Consider the following 18,957-nt stretch of genomic DNA (forward strand, 5'->3'; position numbering starts at 1 on the left):
AACTTAAATTGAAATATGAAGCTCCATGGTACCGCTTGTGAAGAGCTTAGAAATTTTATAAACCGAGTAAACAGCATTGGAAACCCAGCAGGAAAGCCTCTTATTGTAATAAAGAGCCTGATTCCATTGTTGATGTTTGACTGCTGGAAGCTTTCAGGCCTCACGACTCCCCTGTCCCTTGCTGCCCCACATCTGGGCAGTCTGAGAAGGTTTCAGTATGCCCCTCCCTTGGTGCCCACGTGATTTTCAAGCCATACAAGGACTGGCCTGTATGTGCCAGAACTCTCACCCCAGCTCGATCACCTAATCTCATTAAAAACAGGGCCTGTCACCCTTCTCTGCTCTCCAAGCTATTTTTGGATCAGCTTATAATCCTGTCCTATTCTCCCCAGAAAGCCTCATTATGTAAGTAATAAGCCTTTTCATTCCCTCATGGGGTGAGTGTGTGTGTGTGTGTGTGTGTGTGTGTGTATGTGTGTGTGATCATTAATCTTCACATCCAAATCAAATTTTGGATGGGGGTTCCTTCCTGATACTGTGAGTTCCTTCCTGATACTGTGGGGTGACTGTAACATTTATCTACCTAGAACAACAGAACAACCTGGTCTCAAAATATCATATCAAACTATTGAGAAAGGAACAGCAGTATCTCATAAGGCAAATTCATGTTTCACAATTGTAGATTCAGCCATACTATGAAGCCTCGGTCTTTATAAGATTGTGCTTACTATGTTAATTATAAAGACTTAAGAAACATTTATTGAATAAATATTACTTAAATTGCTGTGCTAAGTGCTGGGATTAGGGCCACAAGCAAGAAAATCAAAGGTGAATAAAATACATTCCCTTTCTCAAAGAAGCCTAATAAGGACACACCAACTTTAACACAAGAAACACTGCTCAATGCAGTAAAGTACTACAGATTTGGCCATTTCTCCCTGAGAATGGTGGGTGGCATCTGAGCTTACCATTCTTAGACCCATAGATTTCTATAGGCAGAGCAAGAAAGCCTGTAATGAAGGAAACCAAAATTCTTTTTTTTTTTTTTTTTTTGAGACAAGGTTTTACCCTTTCTCTCAGGCTGGAGAGCAGTGGTGCGATCAAGGCTCACTGCAGCCTCAACCTCCCCAGTCCCAGGTGATCCTTCTACCTCAGCCTCTGGAGTAGCTAGGACCACAGGTACTTGCCACCATGCCCAGCTAATTTTTGTATTTTTTGTAGAGATGAGGTTTGGTCATGTGGCCCAGGCTGGTCTTGAACTTCTGGGCTCAGGCGATCTGTCCACCTCAGCCTCTCAAAGTCCCGGGATTACAGGCGTGAGCAACCAAGCCCTGCCTGAGACAAGAATTTTTGATGCATTCAGGGAACTGGGAATGTTCCAGAAGCAGAAGTGGTAGAAAGGCAGAGGAACCACATCTCCCTTTTATAAGATAACTCTTACGGCAGCATGGAGGATAAGTTTAAAGACAGTGAATGGAGGAACAAAGACCAATCAGGAACTCATTTTAATAGTCTAAGTGGGCGAAGAAGACCAAAAATAGCGCAGTAACAGTCAAAACTGAAATGAAGGAACTGGGAAACACTTTAGAATTGGTAGGACTTGAGAAACTACACTTTGAAGTTGAGGGAATATGGTGTAAGAAATGCATTCAGTTTTCTAAATGGTATAAGTTTAATATTTATAAAACAAACATGGTATATCATGGGGTTAAATGTGATTTTTCTGGTTAATTCAGCTCCAAAAGCTTAAGAACAGTATAATAGGCGTCAAGTTGACCAATGCCTTCAACGCAAGGTACTAGACCACACAGGCAACGCGTGCTAAAAGACTATAAAATTGGTTTTGCCAGCATTAGTGCATCACATTCACTCCCTGCTCCAACATGCTCACGAAGCATATGGGGAAGAGGAAGGGAAAGTGTTTCACCCCACCACCACCAATGCCCTGTCCGCAGCACAAGTGAGGAGGACGTTAAGGGAACCATTTAGAGAGCTTTACAGGTAGCCCCTGGAGTCCGAATGATGCAGAAACTGATACTTCATTCCACTGAAGACACAGAGGTGTGACTAGGTAGACATTCGGACAGCAGAAAAGAGAGATGCTCTGTTGGCTTGATGTGCACTTTCAGAGTCTAGTGGGGACAAAGGATGAGTGAGTTTCCCAGAAGCCCATTGTGGACCCTGTTTCATCTTAAAAGGGACTGAATCTGGAGAAGGAAAGGCCCAGAACCTGTAGGTGAGAGATCCCCAGTGATGTGGAGATTCTGATGTACCCATAAAAGCACCCCAGCAGAGAATCAACATTTGGAATCAGCCACACCATGAAAACAGCGATGCTAGATTATAACTAATGTTTGTGCCGGCAAATGTTGAACAACTGGCTGTCTGAAAAAACTGCATGTATAAATATATGTGTGTGTGTGTATGTATATATACATAGGTTTATTATAAATTTTATTGAAAGGTGTATAGCAAATATTTTACAAATAATAATATGCAATACTCTTTATTGTAAATTCCATATAGCCAGCTGATTCTACAGAATCCTTTCATTGATTTTTGCTTGTATTACCCAAACTATGACAGCAATTGATGAGTGTAGTTTGAATGTTGATTGACTTTTCTATTTACATTAACTAGTAAGATGGAAGTGAAACAAAGGAACAATAGGTTGCAATTTCACTTGTTTGTCTGATATTAGTGAGTTCTTTGCTAAATTGAATAGCAGCTCTCTGAAAAAAGAATTTCTTCAGTTTTTTTGTGCTATTCACAGTGTACTACAATCTACCACAACAGACATGACACTCTTTTAATTTCATTATTAACATTCTCTCCATCAGTTTTTTTAAATGAGTCTCCATCTATTTTGTGTTTCTTTAACTTTTAAGTTCAGGGGTACATGTACAGGATGTGAAGGTTTGTTACATAGGTAAACATGTGTCATGGGGGGTTTGTTGTACTGATTATTTCATCACCCAGGTATTAAGCCCAGTATCCATTAATTACTTTTCCTGATCCTCTCCCTCCTCCTACCTCCACCCTCAGACAGGCCCAGTGTGTGATGTTTCCCTCTGTGTGTCCATGCTGTTCTCATCATTTAGCTCCCACTTATAAGTGAGAACATACGGTATTTGGTTTTCTGTTCCTGTGTTAGTTTGCTAAGGATAATGGCCTCCAGCTCCATCCATGTCAGTGTAAAGGGCATAATTTGATTCCTTTTTATGGCTGCATAGTATTCCATGGTGTATATGTACCACATTGTCTTTATCCAGTCTATCATTGATGGGCATTTGGGTTGATCCCATGTCTTTGCTATTGTCCACCACCTTTTTAACTCTAAAAAATCAACAATAAAATAAATCAAACTCTGGTTTGTATAATCTGCCATTTTCCATGGTGTAAATACTCCTATTACGGCCAATTTCAAGATCAACATGACGTCGCTGAATGAGGCAGTAGGAAGAAATGTATAGTAGCCCACCATTATATTTTTACCTGTAGATACAATAGATGTAAATAACCTCAAGAGTAGAGATAATAGCAAAAGAGTTAGGAAATAAGAAGTTTTGAATATTTATTACCTTTGTCTTAATATAACTTATTTGATTATGTTTATACAATTTAGTGTTTAACAATAGCTGTGTTAACAATCAGCTCACACAAATCCTAAAATTTTAACAATCAGCTCTCACAGATTCACAGTTGTACCACACCACTGATTCATAGATATAGGAAGACAGCCTGCGGTATGGCAAGAATGACACCACGGCCATGATGACTGATGTTGGATTCCTGCATACTAAGGTGTTCTGCAGCAAGGTCCTTAAACAATGCCCATAGCATAGATAACCCTTCAAAAGAAACAAAGCTTGTAACTTAGATAATTCTCTCATTAAGATTCTTATCTAGACTCCCCAGTGTTCATGAGTTTTGCAAGAAAGTCTGAGACATGATCAGCTGTACATCTTTTATCCTAAAAGCTTACATAATTTCTGGAGGGCAGGTGTGGGGATGCACTGTAACAGAATCATCATTTCTGTGTGTAAGTCCCTATTAAATACCTCTTTCTGAGAAACTGGATTTGTCAGTTTTTCTTTGGCCTCTCAGCTCTCTCAGCCTTTGGGGGTAGGTTTGCATATATATGCTCATACAGGAACAACAGTGAGGCTCTTTCCTCTCCTTACTCCTTACCCACCCTCCAATCTTAAAGCCCCTGAAAACATCAGCTCTTAGTTAGGAGAAGAGCTGGAGCAAAAAAGCAACAAGAAATCAATTTGCGTTGCCTGTAGTTAGGTGAGGCTTTAATTGGATGCGTGTCTGGAGTTTTGATAATAGGTAGTACCAGACTTTTTATTACCTGAGAATGATCAGATAAGCTAAATTAATAAGAATTTAGAGGAGAAAAATACATTCACAGGAAAAGCGTTGAGAAATAAAAATGTTTGCTTTAATTTCTTCCCTATAAAGTCCAGCTTGTTCAGTAAATCAGTTATATGAACTAACAAAACAAAGAAGAGGTTTCGAGTGCAAGATGAATCCAGGCTGTACTTACAGCGAATTGGCAAAAACCAAGATAAAAATGAGAAGATATCCAAGATGTTTCAGAAATTTCAGGCTTGAAGATTCAGAGTAGATTGCATGAGAGATAGACATTTGGGAGTTAAAAGCATAATAGGCTTGTTAAGGTTATGATCATAGATAAAATCCTTTAGACAGAGAAACATAGTCTATTCAACAGGGCACAGGCAGGCAACTTAACCATTAATCCTACTAAGAGGCACGCACTATGCTAGGAAGTTTAAATATGTTGCCTCACACATGCATCAAAACAACTCTACAAAGTAGATCTTATACCCGTCTTGCCAATGAGGAAACTAGGGTTCAGATGAGGTAAATAACTCACTGAATGGTCACACAACAAAGAAATGCTGGTGCCACATTTGAACCTAGGTCATCTGACTCAAAAGCTATTAATCACCAACTATGAAATGTCATTATTCATTCCCAATTTTTGCAGTTGAAAATTAACCTCAATACTCCTATTCTAGGCATTTCTGATATCAACTTGAAGAAGAATGGAAGACTAGATTTTGATGGTAGTTTGAAAGTTGGGGATGGCCTTCAAGAGATTAGGTGGGTATGGGAATCAGATGTAACAACATTATGGAGAGAAATAGAAGAAGATAGCTTTATCTCCTTCAGTTTTTCCACATGAATCTTGAACTCCCCAACCACTTTTCTTTCTTTCTTCCCTTTTACCATCTCCTGTATTTCCCATGCTCATTCCTGCTGCTAAGCCTTTGGTTCTTGGGATATTTCCCACATGACTTGCCACATCTTCTTCTGAACCTATCCAAATGCTATGGGCCTTTGAGATTCAATATAAATTCCACTTCTTCTCTGAACCTTTCTTTGCCAAGTCCTGCTTTTCTTTTCCACCCATAAACATACACCATAATATTTAGCAATACACTGGTATTTCTTTGACTCCTCAGAAACAGTCACCAGGTCACTCCTAAGCTTGCTGACCAGAGCTAAAGGGGAGCTGAAGTTCTGTCTTTTCTGCTTCTCTGCTGCTTCCTGGCATTGGGCCTCCCTTATTTCTAGGTGCCCAGTTTTCTTTGCAGTTGCCCTTTCTCCTAACCTGTACCTATTGCTGCCCTCCCTGTGGATAACATGTTTCAAGTTACCTACATCTTACTTTTAACCCACTTTACATCCAGTATATGTATCTAATTTAATCAACATTAAGGTGAGATGCACTGAAAGTTCTTTAACCCTTAGACATTTCTAAAAGTTGGATATTCATGCCAGTGTGGCAGGCAGCTAGGTCTTATCCCTACATCACCTTTGACAAAAAAGCCAGCCTTCACAAGGGGAAGAAAAAAGGAGAGTGTGGAGTCATTACCCCTTTACATTTGAGGAGCCTCCTACTACTTTGCTTCCCCTCCCACAGACGATGATCTCCTTCCGTTTCCCCTGGGAGCTTAAATTCCACTCCATTCTTCCTTCCGACTTCCATAAAGAGGAAACCCCTGTCACAATATACAAGAGGATCCTGACCCTGGACAATGAATCTAAAAATCTTTAGAAGGACTTCAGGGGAGTTTCATGCTCCACCAACTTCCTATTTCGTTGAGCACATTTTTGTTGAATACATACTCCCTACTAAACATTGGAGATACAAAGGGAGACAAAAATAATCCCTGAGATTATGTAAGCAGTTTATGGTGGTGGTGGGGTCAGGCAGTAAGAATTTACAATAAAGTGGGATAAGTCTAAATTTAGAGGATGACAAAGTGCTATAAGAACACACGGAGAGGACACCTAGCTGTCTTGAGGATGTTAGATAAAGTATCTTAAAGGGGAAGCAATGGCTTGATGAAACCAAAGGTTGATGAGTTAGCCAGGGAAAAGTAGTTGGGAAAAAGATATGTGCAAATGCTCAGAAAGAAAATGGCATATCCTGGGATCTGGAAGTGTAGTGTGGCCTGAATGGAACACAGTGTGAGTGAGATAATGTGAAAATAAGCTGAAGCAAGATGAGATCTAAATGGGCTTAAGGAATGTATTTCCTCCTCCTAGAAATGAATGCTTTGTTTGGTTGCTATACTAGTAACAGGAATTAGACACGTTTATTAAACCGCTTACCATTTAACTTGGTAAATCAAAGAACAATGATTTTTACAGGTATCAGTAAATGCCTGTAATTAGATACGTGGTAGGCTTTCCTGTTAATATATAATGGTTATTCTCAGTGTTTAAAGAATTAAAGGGACTCGGGTAATTACCAGTTTTAGAGTGAACCATTTGAGAGATAATACCTTACCATTACAAAACAACTCCTAGGGAAAGTTATATGAGACAGCAAAGGTAATAGTAAATAGTAAAATAATATGAATAGTGAATAATATAGTAAAAACAGTTAAAAATGATTTAGCAATTTCTTAAAAACAATTGACCACGAAAAAAATTCACAGTAAAACCGAGACTGGGAATATTTCATTCAACCCTCACACATGCTGCTATTGACTGGAAATTTAAGAAATGTTCATTTGTTTTGACAAAATGGAAAGCAACTGTACATTCTTCCTGGAAACTTTAGCTGAGGTCAAAGTTGTAAATGAAAAGGATGATTTTTTAGAGAACAATTCAGTAGTATTGTTTTGCCTTGTCATGAAGAATTTTTGTGCTTCCACAAACAAAAATCTTGGATTGTTAGGTGAACGGTGGCAATCAAGTGGTTTTCAGAAGACTCAAGTTTCTTCATCTACAAAAATGACAGGAGTGGGGTCAGGATGTTCCCGAAGGCTCCTTCTACTCATAAGAGCATAAAATCTGTGCCTCTAATTTCTCGCAGAAACAAATAATGAGAACTTCACACCAATTCATTTATTATATGAATGTTTTGTCCCGTGAGAACACTGGTCTATCTTTAGATATGTAATTTATCAAACTTCTTTGGGCAACCCATCTTCTTTACTTTTTTATTTTTAATTTTTTGGTTTTCTCTTTGTCAAATTTTCATGGAATAACTACATTCAGGTGTAGTAATAGTAACGCAAAGCTCTGAACACCACGAGACAATTCGTTGCTTCCGAAACGCAGCCGGCAGCAGGTACTCGAGATGAGTAGTGTGAGCTCCCGAGCACCCGTAGGTCGGATTATCTGGTAAGGCACCGGAAGTGACCGCCTCGCGGCTGCTTCCTCTCCTGGAGTCCAGAGTCCCGTTGCTCCGCCGCGATATTCAGTAAACCACTGGGAGTCCGGCAGCATGGAGGCAGCGCGCCCTCCCCCGACGGCAGGGAAGTTCGTGGTGGTCGGCGGCGGCATCGCGGGCGTCACTTGTGCGGAGCAGGTAGGGCGGTGCTCAGGCGGTTCCGCCTCTTTCCCCGACCCCAAAGGGGATAGCACTGGAGGCCTTCCTCCCACCCCCTCCCTTTTTCTTCTTCCGGGTTCCTTTTTTGCTGCGCCCTTTTCCGCACTTATTGCTCCCAGATTTTAGAAACTGCTTGGTGGTCCTCAGATGACCTCACTAGCTTTCTCTTAGGCGCAGGGAGGAGTGGGAGGCAAATTATAGCCGAGAAACCAAAGCTGGCTGATCCGTGCTCAGATCCTTGTAATGTCAGAGCAGACATGAGGACTTTGTATTTAGACAAAAAATTCAGCCCCCTTTCTTTTTATTTTTTTTTCTTTTTCTTTGAGACGGAGTCTCACTCTGTCGCCCAGACTGGAGGGCAGTGGTGCGATCTTGGCTTAATGCAAGCTTTGCCTCCCGGGTTCAAGCGATTCTTCTGTTGCGTCAGCCTGTAGCTGGGATTACAGGCGCCAGCCACCACGCCCCGCTAATGTTTGTATTTTTAGTAGAGACGGGCTTTCACCATGTTGGCCAGGCTGGTCTCGAACTCCTGGGCTCAAGCAGTCTGCCCGCTTCCGCCTACCGAAGTGCTGGCATTACAGGCCTGAGCCACAGCACCCGGCCCTCAGCCCCCTTTGTTAATTATCGTAGGTGATTGAGTTTAGTTTCCAGATAGTTGCCAAGTCTTTAGTGCATCTTAACTAATTAATAAAGAATCCCATATGTAAGTTTTCTATACTTCGAACTCCCAAGATAGAAGAAACTTTATTTCTAGTAAAGTTTTGTAAAATAATCAGCGAAGGATTAAATGCATGTAGGGCTTGCTTTCTTGATTATACTGAATAGCCAGACCATATATATTCAGATACATGTGTGTATTCCAAAAAGTTCTACATTATTTTGTTGATATAAAGTAAACATGAGCAATCACTGAAGTCATAAGAAATAGTGGAAGAAACTCAAGTGTTTCCATCGTTGGATGCGTATTTTCCGTTTATTCACTAAGTAAACATATATGATGCAGGCACCGTATTAAGGGCTGAGTGTTCAACTATGAACAGCATGGTATATACCATGCTGGGGACTCACAGCCTGCTGGAAGAGACAATATTACAATATTGTATGTCTATGCAAGAGATATCAACGGTTATCTTAGAGGTGCCTGTGGAGTATGTAGGGAGTGAATTAGGGAAGAGGAAATTTTTTTAATCAAAGAAGGTATTTTTAAAATCTCATTATGAAAGAATGAGTGAAAGTTTACCAAGTATTCAAGAAAAGAATGTCATCTCCAGTGGAAAAGCATGGATCATCAGGGAGCAGTAAAGCTTAAAGCATAGATCATAAGGAGTCTTAGCATGCTGAGAACTTAACAAGAATTTACAAGTAGTCAAATGTTTTTGAGCAGTGGAGTAACTTGATCATATGAAAAGGCTTGAAAGATGATTAGTTACAATGTATTTGTGGCAGAGGCAGCTGGTTTATACGTGAAACTGGAGAGCCAATTCGAAGGTGATTTCAGTAGTATAAAGAAGTTTTGAGGACCTCATCTAGCAATGGAAACAGCAGAGATATAAATTACAGAATATACAGAGGAAAGAAAGATGGAGAGAGTAATGATATTGTCAAATATAGAAAGTTCAAATAAAATGAGACTGAGAAGAATCGCATGGGTGTTGGGCACGATAGCTCACACTTGTAATCTTAGAACTTTGGGAGGCCAAGGTGGGAGGATTGCATGAGTCCAGGAGTTTGAAGCCAGACTGGGCAACATGGCAAGATCCCATCTCCATTAAAAAAAAAATAAATAATCCCTTGGATTTTAAGGATTCATAGATCCCTCAAACATGCTGTTTTAGTGATGGAGTAGGAATAGAAGCCAGATTATTGAGGGTGGTGGTGTCGAGGAACCAGACTTTGAGATAAGAAAATGCTTTCAGGTACAGAGTGAAGAAGACCGAGGTTGTAGCTAAAGGAAAATAATGAAACATTAACAAGTTATACCTCTAAATTTTGTGGAAGCAATTATTAAAATGGCTTTATCGTCCCACAATATGTACTGACTGGAAGAGGCAGAATAGGAGTGCCAGAGCACCTGGGGAAAGTTAGACCAATATTCTAAGTGTTTAATATTGAGGGTTTGCTTTAATTTCATCCCATTGAAGACAAATGAAATATTATTTTAAGATAAATAGAAGTTGGTTTAACTGGTAATTAGGAAGATAGTTTATTCTCATCCTCTGCATTATAACTCTAAATTGGTATAAAAAATAGTTGAAGTAAATAAAGGATATTTCTTTATATCACTTTTCTTGTTCAGGAGTTCTTTGTTAGTGTTTACTGTAAATATTATTTTCTCAGTATCAGAGTTTAATATTATTCACCATTGCCCCATCAAGACCAAGGATAATGGAGACCTTTAGATGAGGAACAGTGGGTTTTTAATTTTCTAGATTAATTACATTATTAAAATTGCATTATTCTCAACCCCAAACCATATATACCAGTACTTAAAGTAATTTGTCCTAATTTTTTTTCTCTCTTTTTAAAAATAAGTTGGCTACTCACTTTCCATCGGAAGATATTCTCTTGGTAACAGCTTCTCCTGTTATTAAAGCAGTTACAAATTTCAAGCAGGTAAGAACCTTTGTATAACTTGTTAATATTAATTTGAAAAAATTGCAATAACTTGCATAGCAGTTAGGGTAATTGTGTATTTTTTTCTTTCTTAAAAATTGACAAGTACAGTTATATGCTGTACAACATGATGTTTTGATACATGTATACATTGTGGAATGGCTAAGTCAAGCTATTTAAAATCTTTCCAATTTGGATGCCTTTTATTTCTTTCTGTCACCTAATTTAATTGCTCTAGCTAGGACTTTAGTACTGTGTTGAATAGAAGTTGTGAGAGTGGGCATCCTTGTGTTGTTCTTGATCTTGGAAAAGCTTTCAGCTTTTCTCCATTCAATATATTATTAGCTATAGGCTTGTATATGACCATTTTTTTGTTGTGGTACTTTCCTTCCATACCTAATTGTTGGGTTTTTATTATGAAAAGACGTTTAATTTTGTTGAATATTTTTTCTATATCTGTAGAGATGGTCATGATTTTTGTCCTTTGTTCTGTTAATGTGGTATATCACATTTACCGATTTGCATATTTTAAGCCATCTTTGCATCCCTGAATAAATCCCACTTGATTATGGTGAATTGATTGCTTTTTTTTGAGATGGAGTCTCACCCTGTTGCCCAGACTGGAGTGCAGTGGCACGATCTTGGCTCACTGCAAGCTCCGCCTCCTGGGTTCACGCCATTCTCCTGCCTCAGCCTCCCAAGTAGCTAGGACTACAGGCGCCCGCAACCATGCCCAGCTAATTTTTTGTATTTTTTAGTAGAGACGGGGTTTCACCATATTGGCCAGGCTGGTCTGGAACTCCTGACCTCGTGATCCATCCACCTCGGCCTCCCAAATTGCTGGGATTACAGGTGTGAGCCACCGCGCCCAGCCTGGAAAGTTTTCTGTTGTTATTTCTTTAAATACATGTTCTACTCCTTTGTCTTTCTTGTCTCCTTCTATAACGCCTATAATTCAAAGATTTGCTCATTTGATGCCATCCTTTAATTCCCTACTTCTATGTTCTTTTTCATTCTTTTTTCTTCTTCTTCCCTTCTGACTGTATATTTTCAAATAATCTGTCTTCAGATTCACAGATGTTTTCTTCTGTGTGATCAGTTCTCTTGTTGACATAGTCTGTTGCATTTTTTTTTGTTTCATTCATTGCATCTTTCATCGTCAGAATTTCTGCTTTAGTTTTTAAATAACTTTTTAAATTTTTTGTTTTGGTTGCTTATTGTTTTTCTGATTTAATTGAATTGTTTGTAACTTCTTGAAGTTCCTTCAGCTTCTTTAAACAATTATTTTGAATTCTTAGGCAGTTCTGACATTTGTGTTCTTTTGGTGGCATATCTTCTTGGTTTATCATGTTTCTTACTGCCTTATGTTGATGTTTGCACATTTGATGACACACTTGCTGTTTTCAGAAGTATGGGCTAGTTTTGCTGTGGAAAGACCTTCCCCTATGGGGAGGGCTGCTTGCTAGATGGGATGTAGCAGTTCTGGCACCAGTGAGGGTGCCCACTTTGTAGTCTGTGCAGCTCCGTCAGCTGAGTTAATTGTTGTTGAAGATTGCAGGGATCCTCAGCATCCAACTCTGGATGTCTGCAGTGGTAGTGAGGGTTGTTGGGGTTTTCAATGTCAATGGCTGCTAATAGCCTCCCAATCTTTTCTTCTCCCACAAAGGAAGTTGTGGCTTAGGGGATCCCTGTTGGCACTGAGTCTGCCTTCTGGGTTCAGTGGCAGCAGCGCTGGTGTCTGATAAGTGGTGCCTATGGAGCAGATAGAGCTGAGGCCCAAAACACAGGCATACACGGAGGAATTAAAGTTCTGGGATCTGGGACTGTAATGATATTGGTGCCTAGGGTGCAGGTACCCGTACTGCTATATTGGTAATAGAATATGAGGTGAGGATGCTTGTGAGGCAGCCAGGGAAACCAAGAATGGGAACACATGTGTGCTCAGAGTTACAGCAGCTTCAGTGTCAGGGCAGGGCCTAGCTTTCAATGGCAGCTGAGCCAGTGCCTAGATTGCAGACATGTGCAGTGAGGATTGGTTGCAGGCCCCAAAGTGCAAACTAGCTTACTATGGTGATGGCTCTGGTGTCTGAGATGTAGGTGGGCCCAGTATGGGCCGTAGAACCTGGGTCTGAGGTGTAGGCATTCTCAGAGTGACCATGGCCCTGGGGTTGGAACACTCACAGGGTTGAGGACAAAGTGACTCCTTTGCCAAAGCATCTTGACATTGGCCACTTCTTTGTGGAGACAAGATATGCCGCCATGTCTCCCACTCTAGGGTTCCCTGGCAGGAATGGTTGTTGGTCCCCTCACAGTAGCAAGGGATGCCAGTTTCCTCTGCAGTGCAGGCCACCATTTACCACAGTGGTCCCCACCATGTGGCTGATACTGATAGCCTCTGCCTTTCTTTGCTCCTAGCTATCTCCTAGTTTCTCAGGTATGCCAGGGTCATTATTGATTCTTTTATGTGGTTATTCTCCATTTTCATGCTCCACTGTGTTGCTGCAGATTGTTTAATGGGCCGTTGAGCCCTCTTTGGGCTATTTTGGCTTGTGAAGATTTGTCTATATTTGTTTTTTTTAATGGGGGAATGAAGGCTGGTATCTCCTACTTAGCCATCTTGATGACAATACCTCCATGTATTCTGGAGTGTTTTAATTGTTTAAAATTACAAATATTCTTTTGAGAGTTATTTTAAAAAAGCTCGAGTTGAGAATTATTCAGATAGAATACCAGAAGCTCCCAGAATGATACTAAATTTTTAATCTTCTATTCTTTTTCTCCATTTTCCTTCCACTTAGAATTACTTTTGAGAAAGTTTCCAATAAAAAATTTTCAGGAAAGATGCTCTGCAAATCTAAAATGGGTACAAATATACATGATATTTATTATCAATATGGGTAGGGGTGTGTGTGTGTGTTTACACATCAGAAAAGTGCTTCCAAGCCAAGTTTATACTTATAGATAATTAGTGTCTCAGAATACTTTGTATTCCATTAATTTATATTCACATTATAGTAGGAGTCTAAGAACAGTTGGGTAATAGTATCATAGAAAAGTCATCTCCAAACTTTTTTTTTCCTGTAGCTCAACTGTTAAAAAGTTTTGCCCTGACATCCCAATATATGTATACTAATAAGTTATGTGTATGAGCTACAGAACTACAATTATAAATGTTATAAAGCCTATGCAAAATAAAATTTCTAAAATGTCGAAAAACGTACATTCTGATCTTTCTTCCCACCCTTCAGTGAAGACTACTACCATAGCCCTTCATTTAATACGATGTCTCTGGTAATATCCTGATAATGGAATATAATTTTCTCATGTTGTAAACCCATAAGACCAAGGGTAGTTTAGTGGCATATACCATGTTGTCCCTTTATAACCTAAATAGAGATACATATGATAGCTTAGTACTTAGGTATAGCCAAAGAGTTATGGAGTTTGGGAGAAATAGAGGAAAAATTATAGCTATTAATCTTTAAAAGGTAAAAGTACATATTTAATGACAAGCTAAGACTGTATACATAAGAGAAGGATGTATAGCTGGGTCTCATAAGTATCTTTCCAGAAGACCTAATTCAGTATAATAATCCAAGAGTTGTGAGACTTGAATTCAGTTTTTGCCGGTTTTGTAAGTTATATACAACAGAAGGAAAAAGCTTGGTTTCTAGGCCTCTTATTTACTGGTCGGGTAGCCTTGGAAGATCTCTGTAAGCTGCTTCACCTGTAGTATTAGGTTAATACTTTCCTTGCTTACTTCACAGGGTTGTGAACTTAAATGTGCCAATAACAAATATACAAATATCAGCTATTCTGTGTACAGCAGTAGGAAATGGCATTATCTTTATGATTTATTGAGTACCTATATTATATATTAACCAATGTGCTAGGCACATAAGATAAGGAGATTAAAAGTATAGAACATAACACCAAAAAGTCACTAGTGCTTATCCTGAGGGATTAAGGATGAGATATGAAGAGTGATAGAGACTTTAACATTTACTCTGTATTATGTATTGTTTGTTTAGTGTTACAAAGAGCATGATTCATGACTTGTATAATTTTTAAAGGAGAAAAAAGATTACTGCTAATAATTCACATTTATTAAGTGCTTACCATGCATCAAGTGGCCTTCTAAAGGTTTCAGATCTATTCTATGATCCTTAAATAACCCTAGAAGTAGGTTCTTACATAATTTGTAAGACTGTAAAGGGGTCATGAGACCAAAAGGTTTGAGAACTGTCAGGGCCATGCAGTAAGATTTCCATGCAGTTTTTAAGGAGCAGCTGAGGTTGAATATCAATCTGTAAGGCTGTGTGGTCTTTCTGCAGCAAACTGGGCTTAGGACTAGAGCAAGCAGATAGTTTATAGGGTTGAGGGTTTTCAGGTTAACAGTTTAGGATAAGAGAGCAAGGAAGTAAAGGATTTAGGGAAAAGGTGAAATGATTCACAATTGAACTTTAGCTGGACAGAAAGGAAAGTGAGTCTAGAATACTGATGGTTTTATAGAACAGGAAAGAAGAGTGCAAAGACTAGATGACCATAAGGTCTGCTAGTAAATAGAGAAAGCTTGAAGGATAAGGAAATAAATAAGCTGTTTGGCTAAACTGTAGAAATGTAAGTGGTGTTACCCCTCATTTTACAGGTCAGCTCTCATTTTATTAGCCAGGAAACTATGGCTTGTAGCACCTGACTTGCCCAGGAGCGGCCAAGCAAATATTTAAGTCTCTAAATGCTGAGTCTAGTCCTCTTTCCACTCTATATAGTGCAGTTGGCTAACTTGTTTGTTTTATAAACACAAAATAGTGTGTAAAAGCAAAGTATTTTTATTATTTAAGATTCTTGAAAGAAAATACTTTAAAAATATACATTTTTAATCTCTTGGATCTATACAGATTTCTAAAATATTGGAAGAATTCGATGTTGAAGAACAATCAAGTACCATGTTAGGAAAACGCTTTCCCAACATTAAGGTTATAGAATCTGGCGTAAAGCAACTGAAGAGTGAAGAACACGTAAGATAATTGTTTTCTTAATAACATTTTCCATTGTTGAATCTTGATGAAGTTTTGCCTGCCTCTTTTCACTCCAGCTCTACTACCACCACCATTTAAGTTTTTAACATGTAAAGTTTAGTGACATTGATTTCCAGTATTATTAGAAAAAATACAGTTTTTGTAAGTTTATTGGAATTATATAATTAGATTTGGGATTTTAGTCTTCACATTTCAAATTACATTAATGTTTATAAAGTGTCCACTGTGTTCTGGATACTGCATTAGGTGCTGGGATGCAGTAGGGTTAATACGAGGTGTTGGCTCCTAGGAACTGTCAGTGTCAAAGGGAATATGAACATGCATACTATAATTATATTGACATATAAAAAACACAGTCACTGAAATACTATCAAAGCTCTGATATCAGGGCTTAAGGAAGACTTTACAGAGAGAGTAAAATGAGGGGGGTATTAACAGATGAGTGAAATTAAGAGTTCCCCAGGTGGAAAGAGGCATTCCAGGAAGGGGAGATTGAATGTTCAAAGACCCAAAGAAAGGAAAAGAAATATGAAGAATAGAGATGTCAAAGGGATTAGGGTGTGGTTAAGTAAAGGAGATTGGCAATCAAGGCTAGAAGATAAGTAAGTGAGAACCTGAAGGGTTTTTAATGTCACACTATAAGAAGTTGAGTTTGGGCCGGTGCGTTGGCTCACGCCTGTAATCCCAGCACTTTGGGAGGCTGAGGCAGGCGGATCATGAGGTCAGGAGATTGAGACCATCCTGGCTAACATGGTGAAACCCTGTCTCTACTAAAAATACAAAAAATTAGCCGGGTGTGGTGGCGTGCACCTGTTAGTCCCAGCTACTCGGGAGACTTGAGGCAGGAGAATGGCGTGAACCCGGGAGGCGGAGCTTGCAGTGAGCCCAGATCGCACCACTGCACTCCAGCCTGGGCGACAGAGCGAGACTCCTTCTCAAAAAAAAGAGAGAAGTTGAGTTTGTTTTATATTTGGGAGAAATTGTAAGGTGATTTTAAGAGCTGGGGCATCAATGATAAAATAGATTTTTTTTTTTTTTTAAGGAAGATACATCTGATAGGAGTGTTGAGCATGAACAAGTGGCTAGTAGCCAACCAAACTAGAAGGTGGTTATGATAGTCAAAAATTATGTGAAGAGTCAGGAAATTATGTACAGGCTCATGCCTATAATCCCCAGCACTTTGTGAGGCCAAGGCAGACGGATGGCTTTAGCCTAGAAGTTCGACTCTAGCCTGGGCAACATAGCAAAACCCCATATCTACAAAAAATATACAAAAAGTTAATCAGGCATGGTGGCGTGCACTTGTAGTCCCAGCTACTTTGGTGACTGAGGTGGGAAGATCACCTGAGCCTGGGAGTTCAAGGCTGCAGTTAGCTGTGATTGCGCCACTGCACTCCAGCCTGGGCAACAGAGTGAGACCCTGTCTCAAAAAGGATAATAATAATTTTTAAAAAATTGATTTGAAAAATGATGTAAGGTCTGAACTGAGACAGGGACAATGTAGTTGTAAAAAATATCCCAGATTTGAGTGAGATTTCTGCTATAAATTTGGCAGGACTCAATAACCCTTTACATGAGAATGAAGAAGGCAGTCTCAGGAAAGGATGTTGTTAGATGATTTACAGTATCCTCAGATGAGCTTCAGGTAAGATGAGAAGTAGATTTGTAGTTGTTTCTATAAGCAGTTCTAATTTATGAGTTCTAGCTCATAAATTAGAGATGTGTTTTATCTCCTTTAGGGATAAAACACATATATACCACATTTGAAACACAAGTAATTTGAGAGAAAAAAGTACTGAATTTTATCAGGAAAAAATAAAAAATCTGAATCCCCAAACCAGATAAGTTTCTAATACTTATAGTGGTATTACATATTCCAAGTAATATATTTGTCAATTTATTTGTAAATTGAGGTGGGCTCTCAAAATATGCTAAATGGATTGTCAGGGAATTTATGTGTTAGGGCATTTGAATGAATCAGAGTGCTTCCCGTTACCATTTGAAAAATATCCCACATGCAGTGCATGTCTGCCTTCTCTTATCCATTGTCCTTTACATTTTTGTTTTTTTAACAGTTTATTATAATTTCTTTTATTTAACAATCTAGGAAGTTGGCAGCCATCAGCAGTTCTAGTGCTATTTCAGGTGCAGTTGGGAATTCGGGAACTCAGTGGAGCTGTTAGTGTAGCGAACTTTGTATGTAAAATACATGCATACTGCCAGGCGCGGTGGCTCACACCTGTAATCCCAGCACTTTGGGAGGCCTTGGCGGGTGGATCACGAGGTCAGGAGGTCGAGACCGTCCTGGCTAACACGGTGAAATCCCGTCTCTACTAAAAATACAAAAAAAAATTAGCCAGGCGTGGGGGCGGGCGCCTGTAGTCCCAGCTACTTGGGAGGCTGAGGCAGGAGAATGACATGAACCCGGGAGATTGCAGTGAGCTGAGATCACGCCGCTGCACTCCAGCCTGGGCGACAGAGCGAGACTCCATCTAAAAAAAAAAAAAACACATGCGTACTTTTGATAGCACGTGTGAAGGTATCTCTCTAAAATTGACCTCATTGGTTTCATTCTCAGCAAACTGAGCTGGGCCACTCAACATGGCTTTTATCATGTCTGATGTTAATGCATGTTCTCTTTTTACAGTAAATTCATGGCCATCAGATGATATCAATTTCACATACCTGGCATCAGGGCCTTCACAGCCACCATAGGTTTTCTCTTCCCCATCCATTTTGTTCTTATGAAATGCTACTGTGCTTCCCCAGGAACTTCAGTAGTTTCCTAGTGAGGCGAGGACGCAGAGTGTGTGGCTCACTTCCGTCTGGAGAAGTGTCCTTTACATTTTTTAGTGAATTAGAGATAGTATGTTTTACTTTCACGTCTCTTGCCAAAAATTTAGCAGTAGCTAATGGAAAGAGTTTTTGTGTTTGTTTGTGCTATTTGTTTTTACAGCAGCTAAATGCAAATTATTTTTAAAGTTTTGTCAGTGCCTATAATTAACTTTTGTTCTTGTCAGTTGAAATTCTAACCAGATTATTTAAAAGAAGACTTGTATAAAATTTCTACATGGATTATGCTATGCTGGATTACTGGTTTTATGTATTTGTTATGGAACTGAAGAATTAATTTGAGTTATAAATGTCTCATTGGATGTTAAGTGCTATGATACAGTTTAACAAGGTTTGTAAGTCAAACACTTGGCACAAACATTAACCCCTAAATCATTCGAACAAAGTTGAGCATCTCTCATAGTAGCATGCATTTATGTTTAAATGTTTTCTAAAGGCTACTATTTATATGTGGTTTTTCATTCAGTATTAAAGAACAAAAGCAATATATCTCTGATATGTAGTTTTAGACCCATTTATGTTATTAATTAATATAAATTTAAAGCCAATACATGCTAGGATTAAAGATTATCA

The 18,957-nt window shown here is 39.1% G+C and overlaps 1 protein-coding gene and 1 pseudogene across 5 annotated transcripts in view, besides 2 other annotated features; one reads left to right on the forward strand and one right to left on the reverse strand.

Moving 5' to 3' along the window:
• Positions 7,528-7,607: an enhancer, noted in NCBI's record as "active region_6086". NCBI's record gives its function as "activates an Ori minimal core promoter by ATAC-STARR-seq in GM12878 lymphoblastoid cells {active_cell/tissue: GM12878}" and the evidence as "EXISTENCE:reporter gene assay evidence [ECO:0000049][PMID:35858748]".
• Positions 7,658-7,847: an enhancer, noted in NCBI's record as "active region_6087". NCBI's record gives its function as "activates an Ori minimal core promoter by ATAC-STARR-seq in GM12878 lymphoblastoid cells {active_cell/tissue: GM12878}" and the evidence as "EXISTENCE:reporter gene assay evidence [ECO:0000049][PMID:35858748]".
• The window catches only part of PYROXD1 (pyridine nucleotide-disulphide oxidoreductase domain 1), a 33,596-nt gene continuing 22,337 nt past the window's right edge, over positions 7,699-18,957 (forward strand). For 4 of the 5 annotated variants that reach the window (NM_024854.5, NM_001350913.2, XM_047429554.1 and 1 more), the window contains exons 1-3: positions 7,699-7,858; positions 10,412-10,492; positions 15,391-15,510. In NM_024854.5, the coding sequence (NP_079130.2) occupies positions 7,775-7,858; positions 10,412-10,492; positions 15,391-15,510 (285 nt within the window). In that variant the 5' untranslated portion in view covers positions 7,699-7,774. Of the gene's footprint in view, positions 7,859-7,958; positions 8,583-10,411; positions 10,493-15,390; positions 15,511-18,957 lie in introns of those variants that run through there. The other variant, NM_001350912.2, reaches the window with a different exon arrangement.
• Positions 17,600-18,359, reverse strand: ELOCP31 (elongin C pseudogene 31; annotated as a pseudogene).

The sequence above is a fragment of the Homo sapiens genome, chromosome 12 (assembly GCF_000001405.40).
Source record: "Homo sapiens chromosome 12, GRCh38.p14 Primary Assembly".
NCBI lineage: Eukaryota > Metazoa > Chordata > Mammalia > Primates > Hominidae > Homo > Homo sapiens.